The sequence below is a fragment of the Homo sapiens genome, chromosome 6, assembly GCF_000001405.40.
Source record: "Homo sapiens chromosome 6, GRCh38.p14 Primary Assembly".
In the NCBI taxonomy this organism is placed as follows: Eukaryota; Metazoa; Chordata; class Mammalia; order Primates; family Hominidae; genus Homo; species Homo sapiens.
The window spans coordinates 92,977,452-92,989,980 of NC_000006.12; the positions used below are offsets into that span (position 1 = coordinate 92,977,452).

General features: G+C 36.1%; 1 long non-coding RNA gene across 1 annotated transcript; it reads left to right on the forward strand.

The window, feature by feature from the left end:
- The first annotated feature begins 2,147 nt into the window (after positions 1–2,147).
- On the forward strand, positions 2,148–9,443 carry LOC105377897 (uncharacterized). The gene is made up of 5 exons (XR_942787.2): positions 2,148–2,187; positions 2,413–2,572; positions 3,803–3,946; positions 8,543–8,692; positions 8,800–9,443. It is a non-coding gene; the product is annotated as an uncharacterized LOC105377897 (long non-coding RNA).
- Positions 9,444–12,529: the final 3,086 nt, after the last annotated feature.

Here is a 12,529-nt window from a genome sequence, read left to right on the forward strand (position 1 = left end):
ATTTAGAATCCATGATTAGATTTCATTGAAAATGTCACATTAGTTATTACCATTGCACTGTGCAAATTGCATTCATCTCCCTGGTGGTCACGAGACAAGATGAACAATAGTTTATCATCCACTTCACAAATAGATGTGGTTCCCAGATAACAATTTTCTAGGGAATCTTCTCAGGTACTTGGTGTGGAAAGGACTGACCCATGTCAAACCTTGTCACCTCTCTTGTGTTTGAATACAAAATGTGGCAAAACTAAATCTTGGCTTTTCTGGGGACAAATAAATATGACATGGGTGGATTAATGGAAAGACATTTAACTTTCAGTTTGCAAGATGAAAATATATCTGTAAAAAATCCTACCACAACAGTATTCAAACCATATGTTAATGGCTCAAAACATCTGTAGTACTGTAACTTGTCCTGAAAACCCTGCTGGTTTTAAGCACTGACGGGAAACAGTATGCAAGCTGAAGAGAAAACCGCTTTTTGATAAATATCACCTCCTCCTTTAACCAGTTCACCCCCTCCCCCTCTCAGGATACCCATATAGTTCGCAAAGTGTTGTTACATAGGAAATTCTAACTCTTCTCAGAGTTTTCCAATCTATAAAGCAGCTAATTTGTACAGGCTACATTCTGAAGCTAAGAAAACATTTTCACACAATAAAGAAGAGTAAAGTCTGGAATGATCTCGAGTTGAAAGATCTGGCCGGGTGCGGTTGCTCATGCCTGTAATCCCAGCACTTTTTGGGAGGCCGAGGTGGGCGGATCAGGAGGTCAGGAGATCGAGACCATCCTGGCTAACACGGTGAAACCCCGTCTCTACTGAAAATACAAAGAGTTAGCTGGGCGTGGTGGCGGGAGCCTGTAGTCCCAGCTACTCGGGAGGCGGAGGCAGGAGAATGGCGTGAACCCGGGAGGCGGAGTTTGCAGTGAGCCGAGATCGCGCCACTGCACTCCAGCCTGGGCGACAGAGTGAGACTCCGTCTCAGACAAAAAAAAAAAAAAGAGTTGAAAGGTCTGATAGTCTTTCCTTACATTAGCTTGTGATTTAGTCATCACTTCACAATAAGTTATGTTTTCAAAGCAAGGTCTCCTTTGATGGGAAATGAGTCATACCTAAATAGGTTGGTTTAGGCAGGAAAGTCACACAGGAAAAAATCGAGCGACTTAGAACATAAAGAGTTGTGACAAGTATGAATAATATACACTATAATTTATATAAGAGAAAAATATTGTTTATTTAGGGAACTGAACATGAATTCTTAACCAAATTGTCTATGTATAAACTAGAAAATAATGTGTGGTTTACACATGTATAATCCGGAGATTAGAACAACATAAAAGAAAAAAAAAAGAAAGCAAAACAAGACATACAATGAGACCATAAGAGAGTTGTTTAGATACTTTAAATAATTTCATGGTGCCAATTCTACCCAATTTATTTTCCAGGGATTTTAAGGAATCTGAATAAAAAGCTTATGGAAAGATGACATGCCAGAAGACTAGAAGCATTCATATGTGCTCTGGTCTTTCAATGCCAGCAAAGGATCAGTTTTGTAAATTGCTGAAAAGGGCTTGATTAAAGCTCCTGCCCAAATTCTCCATTGACCTTCACATGTGTACAAGATTAGAAAAACAAAAGTATAATTGTCAAAGATGGCCTGAAGTCCTCTCCTTTACGAGTTCAAAATTGACCTGAAGCCCCACAGAATAAAATGAGGCTACTGAGCGATTTTATGCTTCTATTTATGAGGTGTCTCTCAATTCTACACAGGGTTGAAATTGCATTTTCCTTAACTTCTTGTGATTCAGAGTTGTTTCTGGAGAAAATGGTGTGGAAAAGGAGAAGAGATGCTATAATATGCCAAGCCCAGAACCTTCCCATATTGTATGCGGTTTCAAGTTTGTCTCTCCCCTTGGGTGCATATCCCAGAAAAGAAATAAGAGGCATTTTTCCCACTCCTGCATGGAAAGCCTCCAAGCCCTCCTCCCTGAATGCTAGTTCTCTGAATAAGCAGTCACAGCCTGGCTGTTAGCCAACTGATACACGCTTAATACACTTTCTCCTCCTTCTTACCCAAGGTCAGCTGTATAATATCAGCAATTCCAACTTGGCTCTTTGGGCCAAACTTCTTCCCTTGTCTTTTTAGTAACAGAGGTTTTGAAGTACATGCTGATGGATTCCTGGTAGGCCTCATCCCCAAATCCCAGCTTTTCTATTGTGTAATATTTTTTGGAGTCCTTGGGTCCTTTCTTTCCTGTGGCTGTCTGGTGCTAGAATTTCCAAAGAAGTCTTCAGATCTTCCCCCTTTCTGTGTTACCCAGTTACACTGGTCCCTTCTATTTTTGAAGTTAGCATAACCCAGATAGAGCCTGTAGTTTCTTTTCATCTTCCTCTCTCTCTGTCTTTAGTCTATGAAGAAAGAAAATTTCTTCCAAAAGTGTCCTTCATTCAACAGACGGATACTGATCACTTACGTTCCAGATACTGTGCTTTGACCTTGCAGCTACCCTGAACCTGCCCAAAGTGTGAAATGGCCACCACCAGTGCAGAGGCATAAAGAACTCTGAGGTAAGATATTACCTGGGAAGTCAATGCAGAATTTTCCGGTGATCATTCTTTAGAGTTGAAGCAGCGGGAGAAAGCTTTTGGGCTTAACGATAGTATAAAACTCATGCCATGTCAATATGTAATATTTTCATAAGTTGTAACCGGTAGCAATAGAAAGAGTCAAGAACCAAGAAACTTCATGAGAGGTATGTGAATAATAAGGCTAGAAGTGTTTGCAACTTTCGTGGGTCCTACTCTTAAGGTCTAACATTATTATATTTCTAACTTTTCCTAAATATTAATCATTTGCATGTGTATTCTCAAAACTAAAACTTTGCTGAAACAAGACCTTTCAAAGTTATGAAGCAATCAAAATTAACCATAGAGAAGCTTTGTGCTTTGTTTTAGCCTAAATTTTCAATGTGAAGTAAATATTGTCACTACCATGTTTTATAGTGAGAAACTGAGGATCAGACTGGTTAAAACTAGTGCAGTGCTCAGACTTTTATTGATATTTTACTAGAGATTAATTTTCTTCTTCTCTTCTATAGTGAGACATTTGCCAGTTCATTTCTGTTTTGGTTAAGACACAAAATTACATTTAAACCTCTGAGAGTAGTTTTCAGAAGAGATATAAAATAATACAATAATATAATAACAAAAAGATCTTTCTGTTTTATTTTTGATTCTTTTATTTTTTAAAAAAGAAATTTTCTTACCTCTGAAGTAAATTGACTTTCAGGGAAGCTAAGGGATTCATTTTTTTTTATTTTTTTGAGACACAGTCTCACTCTGTTGCCAAGGCTAGGGTGCAGTGCCACTATCTTGGCTCACTGCAGCCTCCGCCTCCCAGGTTCAAGCAGTCTCCTGCCTCAGTTTCCTAAGTAGCTGAGATTACAGGCACCCACCTGTACATACATACATCCAGCTAATTTTTGTATTTTTACTAAAGACAAGGTTTCACAATGTTGGCCAGGCTGGTTTTAGACTCCTGGGCTCAAGCTATCTGCCCCCCTTGGCCTCCCAAAGTGCTGGGATTACAGGTGTGAGTCACCGCACCCTGCTGGGATTTCTTTTTTGTTTTTTTGTTTTTTGTGTCTTTAAGGTGAAGGTTGCTAGAACTTATCCAAAATTTGCACTCCTATAGCTGGTGAATTCCCTGATATGTAAACTGTATGTGAGGGATTTATAAATACACTGAGGGATTTGTAAGCTTAGCATCGAAATGTTGTCCCTTTTGATCAAATTTAGGCCTGAGAGCATGAGATCGTCATCCTTCCCAGTGAGCTCTGGGAAGGTCTCCAAATTAGCAATGGTGCCTTCAAAATCATGGAACTGCCTCACCTACAGGATATTTAAGAAATAAACTTCAAAGGTGATGCTAACACTCAGAAGGTGAGTAGATTCCAGTTCTATGTAAGACTAATGTAGAAAATTCTTTAGACTGCATCCACTTCTGGGAAACATGGGATGGTGACGCTCAAAGATAGTGTCCCAATAAGAATGTACAGTGAGCTAAATGGTTAGTTAGAAAAACAAAATAAATTTAACAGGATTCTTATCCCTTTCTCCAACTCCAATTTGTATAGTGGTTTATGGTGTTTTCACAAGTAATTTGCCCAAAGTGCAAAGCTAATAAAAATGAAGCTAGAATTTATTTCTACATCACTGTGATTCTAAATACAAAATTTACACCATGCTGTGTCATCTCTCACAATTTAAGTGATAAAAATAGTTTTGATACAAATATTTATATAAAATCATAAATTGCTTTCTATTTGGTTTGATGAAATACGTAATTGGTTCATATTGTCTTTTTATATGTATTTTTTCCCTTTATATTTTTCTTAACAAAATGCATGAATCATATTTGCCTTTTTCAAACATATTGAAAATATAAATCTACCTAGTCTTTTTGGGCCTATAAAGTTGATGAAAAAAAGAATAAAACAAATATTAATTTCATTTACTTTTCTAGCTCTTTATTTACTAATGGGATGTTGCATTACTAGTAAATTGATATGACTGTTTTTTTAATATCAAATGCACTCACATACAGTATGACACTATATGTCGAACCTATCTTATTGAACAAAGAGAATAGGGTGAAGGATTTTCCCAGAAAGAGAGCATGAAATAAAACGGATGGTGTGGGGAGGACTTTTAGTGATCTTCTAGTCCTGTTATCCCAAATATTTGAAACTGCCTCTTTTGGAATTTCCTCCTGACGAAAGAATATTCATCTCACCCTATTGATGTGGCCAATGAAATATGAGAGAAAGTGGAATGTGCCACTTCCCTTCAGAAACTTTGAGAATGATTGGTTAACCCACTATTCCACTAGCCCATATCAAAGATAAAGGATGCTCCATTATTCTGCACTCTGGAGTAAAGAGCTAAACTGACCCATGGTGGACAAATAGCATGGGTAAGAGTTACGTGGTTGTTATTAAGCCACTCAGATTTGGGGTGTCATTTATTACCACAGCCTGATTTAGCTAAGCTGATTATATAGAAAGTAGAACCCAAAAGTGTAATGCTTCCCCAACAAAAAATAAAAAATATTGGCTTTAGGGTGTCAGATAGTGGACAGTGAGAAAACTGTTAATGAAGGTTGGAAATATACTGACCTATGTTTGCAGTAGCAAAACAATTGATGAACCTATCATCTGTTATATCTTAGCAGATAATGTACATTTTGGCTTTGATTGTAGAAGGGGGAAAATAGGATTTTAATAGCAGCATGAGTTGGTTGCATTTGACAAGGTACTACAAAATGAAATGCACACAGAATAAACTTGGGCAGGCTGCAGACATGCTTGGAAGGCAATTGAGAAAGTCCTGAAATTCCAGGATGTGTAAGGCTAGAAGATGCAAATGATATCATTTCCAATAAGTAAAGCGTTTAACTAAGAAGGCCTTTGATAAACTATGGCTGATTATAACTTAGTTTCCCTAAAATTGGAAAACAAATCAAGGTATGTTTACAACTCCCTTTTTTAGAAAGGGACAAAATAAATGTTTTTTTAAAACTCTCTGAATCTAGAAACTAATATTTTTCAGTTGGTTCAAATAACTCCAAAAAGACACTAAAAGTATAACTATTGTGAGAAGACTGATAGACTCAAACCAGCAGAAAATACATCGAGAGAGAGAAAGACTGAGAGACTTGTTTTACTAAAAAATGTGGATTTGGATTATTCAAATAGAGAGTTGATTGTAACCAAATAGATAAAAAACTGACTCGTGATGATGAGCATTTTCTCATGTGTTTTTTGGCTGCATAAATGTCTTCTTTTGAGAAATGTCTGTTCATGTCCTTCGCCCACTTTTTGATGGGTTTCTTTGTTTTTTTCTTGTAAATTTGTTTGAGTTCATTGTAGATTCTGGATATTAGCCCTTTGTCAGATGAGTAGGTTGCGAAAATTTTCTCCCATTTTGTAGGTTGCCTGTTCACTCTGACGGTAGTTTCTTCTGCTGTGCAGAAGCTCTTTAGTTTAATTAGATCCCATTTATCAATTTTGGCTTTTGTTGCCATTGCTTTTCGTGTTTTAGACATGAAGTCCTTGCCCATGCCTATGTCCTGAATGGTAATGCCTAGGTTTTCTTCTAGGGTTTTTATGGTTTTAGGTCTAACGTTTAAGTCTTTAATCTATCTTGAATTGATTTTTGTATAAGGTGTAAGGAAGGGATCCAGTTTCAGCTTTCTACATATGGCTAGCCAGTTTTCCCAGCACCATTTATTAAATAGGGAATCCTTTCCCCATTGCTTGTTTTTCTCAGGTTTGTCAAAGATCAGATAGTTGTAGATATGCGGCGTTATTTCTGAGGGCTCTGTTCTGTTCCATTGATCTATATCTCTGTTTTGGTACCAGTGCCATTAGAGAAATGCAAATCAAAACCACAATGAGATACCATCTCACACCAGTTAGAATGGCAATCATTAAAAAGTCAGGAAACAACAGGTGCTGGAGAGGACGTGGAGAAATAGGAACACTTTTACACTGTTGATGGGACTGTAAACTAGTTCAACCATTGTGGAAGTCAGTGTGGCGATTCCTCAGGGATCTAGAACTGGAAATACCATTTGACCCAGCCATCCCATTACTGGGTATATACCCAAAGGACTATAAATCATGCTGCTATAAAGACACATGCACACGTATGTTTATTGCGGCATTATTCACAATAGCAAAGACTTGGAACCAACCCCAATGTCCAACAATGATAGACTGGATTAAGAAAATGTGGCACATATACACCATGGAATACTATGCAGCCATAAAAAATGATGAGTTCATGTCCTTTGTAGGGACATGGATGAAATTGGAAAACATCATTCTCAGTAAACTATCGCAAGAACAAAAAACCAAACACCGCATATTCTCACTCATAGGTGGGAATTGAACAAAGAGATCACATGGACACAGGAAGGGGAATATCACACTCTGGGGACTGTTGTGGGGTGGGGGTAGGGGGGAGGGATAGCATTGGGAGATATACCTAATGCTAGATGACGAGTTAGTGGGTGCAGTGCACCAGCATGGCACATGTATACATATGTAACTAACCTGCACAATGTGCACATGTACCCTAAAACTTAAAGTATAATAAAAAAATAAATAAATAAAAATAAAAATAATAATCATAATAATATAAAAAAAACAAAAAACAAACAAAAAAAAAACTGACTCAAGCTCTTAAGAGAACTGCCTGGTCAAAAAGAACCATCAGACAAGACTAAAAGATACAGTAACTGATTAACTCACAAAATAATTTTTGCATTTCCAGTCTTCCACTGGCAGAAAGCTGGTTGAGAAATCTGCTCAGCCTCCAAGGAAGACATATTCTGTTAAAAACTAACATCCCTTCAGACGTGACCAGGAAGGAAAATGTAAAGAAAAGGAACTTTCAAAGAATAGACCCAATAGCCATGGGGAACAATTGATTAGGAGAGCTACTCCCCAGGAGCAGAACTCAAGGCTTAGTCAAGAGGGTCTCTGCTCTTCCCCTTGCCTAAAACTATTACCCCCTCAACCAGTAAACTCTAGTTCACAACAACCTTTTGTGGACTACCAGATTGGGTCTGGACTCCTCTGACTTTTCTCACTAGACTATGCACTACTCTATATCTTTTATCTAATTTTCTAATCAGATATTTATTTTTGAGATTATTTTACTAATTCATGTCTTATGAAGTTCTAATTTTTATGAAGGTAGGGATGCTATTTCGGCTCATCATTATACTTCCAGAACTTAGTCCCATGCCTAGCACATAACTGATAAATATTTATTAAATGAATGTGTTTTCTCGAATTTGTTTCCTTAAGCTGAGAGTGTTTTGAAGATGGACTTCTCAGTATACCCCTGTCATGTAGAAATCAGAATTATGAGTAGGCTCAACCTCTCTTTTTTTCTTCATACCCATTGTAATCCAGTTTGAAATTTGGCACTATGATTCTTCCCCTACAGGGTCTTAATTATGACTTTAACTTCTGGTTTGCCTGGGATAAACCTGGTTTTCATCAGGTCTGTAAGCATAATTATTAATTATGTCCTCTTTCACTACTGAAAGTGCCCAGGTTAAATTACTTAGTTTCGCTGTTCTTAGAGCTATACTCCTTGAACCTTTGTACACCCCATCTAAAGTGTCAACGTTCCCTAAGTTTAAGATAAAGAAATGAAATTTGCCTCTGTTACAATCTAGAGTGCCAAACAGAGGCAGAAGTCTAATTGTAGACTTTGTCCCATGAGTTACTGTGGTTATATAACCTGGCCTATTAGAAAATAAAAACAGTTGGACACAATTTCCTCAACTGAACCAAAAAGGAGGCCAATATCAATAATACATTGAAATGAGTGCCAAATTGCTCTCCATTTTTAGGACCCGAAGACTCTCAAAAGGTTCCACAAGACAAAAAGATATATGGGAATTCTCTGCCTTGGAGAGACTCCCACACTGAGTTCAATTGTAATGTCTCTGTATTATAGGTCTTCACAGCTAGAGCAAATGAAAATGCAATCTGAAGGGAGTGAAAAACTTGGAAAATCCCACACTGTTAGTAAATTAGGTCTTTTAAAAAAGGAACATCCTAGCAAGCTCCAATAAATCAATGTGACTCTAAGAAACAACACTGAAAGGTAAGTGCACTTTCAGGGTTACATCTTTGTTCTCTTTCTTTCTTAGCTATTTGATTCATGTGGTAAAGTAAATTTCTCTTGATTTTTTTTCTTTCATAATCTACTAGTTACTGAGCCTGTCGGACTTAACTCACCAGAGTTTTAATTACAAAGCAGTACAGTTGCCGCAGAGAATGGTAACACAGTGTTGCTGAACCAACTGGGCCTGAGATGTGTGGCTGGAATCTTATATTTTCTTCACTTTCTAAAGATGAGAGACTTCCCAGATGCCCTAACAGCAGGGCTTCTTTTTGATAAGAGGTAATGAAACCTCACAGACAAATGCAATAATCTGAGTTTTAATAGACCCAAACCAGTCGACAGTAAAAAAAAAAATCAGCACAATAGACAAAAAACTGAGTCACTCTGATGAGATTTTCAAATATTTCTCTTCCTTCTCATCATCTCTTCAAAGAGAGTAACCGATTGCCCTATTCTTTTCTTTTTGTCCTAATGAAAAAAATAGCTTAAAATTAGAAATAATGTACTTACTAAGCCATGTGAAGATAATAGGCCACAGAAATTAAAAATGCTCATACCTATTTAGAGTGATGAACCTTCCCAATCTGCCCGTGATGTTACCAGTTTTCACAATAAAATCCTGTGTCCTGAGAAACCCTCCTCAGCCCTGAGCAAGATGAAACAGTTGGTCACCCTACTACTTACTTTCAAGGAGATAGATGGTCGATTCAATTTTATAAATTCAATATTATTAAACCTCTCTACATTCTAATGCATACTATATATATATATATATATATATATATATATATGTATATATCATATAGACCTACATACCAAATGTATTTAAATGCTGTTTAACTTTCTGTACGTTTTGTTTCCCTCCTATTTTTAGTCTTTTTTTGTCTTTCTAATAAAAGATAATTTTTTGAAGATCGTTAGATGTATTTGTCAATGCAAGAGTAGTGGATTAATATTACAGACCAGTATGTTGTGTAGGTCTTTATACACGCTTTCCACCTTCAGGGATAATGACCCCAAATAGGCGATGAAAAAAAAAAAGGACATGAGATGAGAGTCAGAGCTCCTTTTCCTTGGTGACTCGAGATTATATGAAGATAAAAGGAAAAGGTTGTGATGCATTTTCTGCAGTTTGTGTAAGGATGGGCTTTATAAATCTAGGAAAAATTCCTGCAGGAATCACTTTTTAGTACCGGTGCTGCCATCAACTTTCAACTGTCTAACAGAAGCTAGAATATAAAGGTGGGAATTTTAATAAAAAAAAGTATTTTTGTTAATACCTATATAATTAGAAATGATGACTGTTAAGGAAAGTTTTTTCTGTTTTCTTAGATTTAATAAAACACAACTAAATTTGGAAATACACAGGCAATAGAGACAAATCTAAAAATTCTTAGCAAAACTATGATTTTCATCTCATTATAATAACATATGAAAGCAGAAATGGCAAATCAAATTTTATAGCAAAAACACTCAATACAGAGAGCTATTAATTCCTGGCACAAAACTCAACTGCAGAAGGTGGATGAAGTGCATATGATGCATACTCATTATTTTTAACAATGCTTGGAGGGGCTCTTTGACTCGGAATTTTATGAGCAACATAAGTGATCTGATCTGTTACTTAAAACACTCAATGAAATTAGAAATGTATATATTATGATACAACTGATTTTAGCATAAATATACCTAACAAAATTTGACTGTTAAATATCCAAGCCCAAACATCCCTATATATTTCCCACTCACTCGCTAAACCTCGAGTAAGCCACTATTGTTAGAAATGTTCTTCCAATTCTTGCTCCAGGACTATTCTTCCACCTCCTCCAGGTTCTTCTGTCTTCTTGCTGTGTCTCAGCCTGCTTTCATGTCTGCTGGTTTGTGCTTTTCTGTTTCTATTTCTGAGGCACATTGCCTTGCTGTGTATATCCTTTCAGTGTCTTGTATCCTGTGATTCTGAACAAAGGGAGCTGTGATTTATAATATTTTGGGAAGCAACTAAATTCTTAATTGGTATCCAAATTGAAAACCAATTTTTCCTTTTGGCCAGAATCATGAAAACTATTGTAAGTTCTGTGGAACTTGTATGATAACATTACATAGATTTTTTTGGCCACGAAAAAATCTGAATGGGTCTCTTTTTAATGATTTCCCACCTGGCATTATGTGTGACAAATATATAGTTCAAGCCTCTAAGTGCATGTTTAAAACCTACAATGTATACATATTCATGTCCTGAGTTTTCCCTTTGTACTAGCTTTTTTGGTATATAGTTAAATGGTTATTCAAAATGTTAGTTAAACTTTATAAATTTTAACTGGTTTCTCTAAAAGTAGCCTTGCTATTTTTCCTTAATAAAAAAGATGAACATTCTACACAATAAAAGTCTTATGTTTTATTATTCTTACAGCATGTGCAGCATTTGTATTTCTTTTTTATCTTCACTTGGTGTCATCAAAATATAATGCCCTGCCAGACACATATCCTCTCATAATCAATATTAAATAATTCTATGGCTATTTTAGAATTTGAATTTTTAAATTTTATTTTAATTAAACCATTTTAAATAAAGATTATATCTAGCAATCTTTCATTCTATGTTTTGCTAGTTTCTCACAGTAAATATTTGTACTGTGTTAGAATATTTTGAGTTGAGTTTTAAACTATATTTTGGTAAGAAGATTAACTTCTTGATAGTAATTTATGCTGGAAAATGGAATATGTTTGAAAGAAAGTTTCAATGGTGAAATTCAGCATAAGGCATAGAAGTTTAAAAATAACTGTAATAGCCTATAAGCTCAATATTCATTTAGAAAAGACATGAAATAAATCAAACTAGCAAAAGTAAAAATAAGCTATCCACCTAACTCCAACATATCATTGTCAAAGTGTATCAAGGCATGGGAATTGATTCAGCATCTTTGTTTTTGTTTTGTTTTGTTTTGTTTTGTTTTCTGTGTAGTTGGGGAGAGATTTTACTAAATCTGGGAAATCTTCCTTTACAACAAACAAGCAAACAAACAAACTTGTATTGCAAATGTGTTACTCATCAAACAGAAACACAAACCTTGTTCTGTATCAACAAAATATTGACCCATATGTCTTACCCCCACACAGAACATGTGTAGGGTTTGTATCCCTCAGGAAACACTTGTCAGTGGCTCAACATGGAAAAAACCAAAAGGTAAAAAGAGAGTAATTAAATGTTCCAGGATATATTACCGTATTAAAGTCTTACGAATTATTTGGTTTCTGCCTGAAGATTTCTAGACTCCTTTAAAAAATAGTCAATAGGACATAGAGCTGTTCTGCAAATTGATGTAGCTCAATTTGCCAACTAAAGGAGAGTTACAGGAGCGTATATGACATCAATATATAGTTGTAGCTATGCAGAAAATGACCTGCAGGACACTAATCTTAACCACTAAGACATTAGAAGGCCTTTTAAACCTGGCCAATTAAAATGTGCTTCTCACACCAGCAGCCTCAGCCCCACCTGAGAGCTTCTAAAAAAAAAAAATCCCAGCCCCATCCAGACCTGCTGAATCAGAATTACCTGCACGTGTTAACAAGTTTCCCAGGTGACTCGAAGGTGCAGAAAAGTTTGACAAACATGTTTCAAAACATTGCTTTCCTTTATGTCTGTAAGGCAAAATCCTACATCTACTTTCTCTTTTGTTGAAAAGTATGATGAAATTTGTGAAGATAATGCTTAAATTCTTCAAATTGTGGTCGGGGGTAACCATCCTCTCAAATGAGTCATTCTGAAGTTGAAACACAAACATTGCACTTAGAAGATAAAGGTTTTTGCCTTTA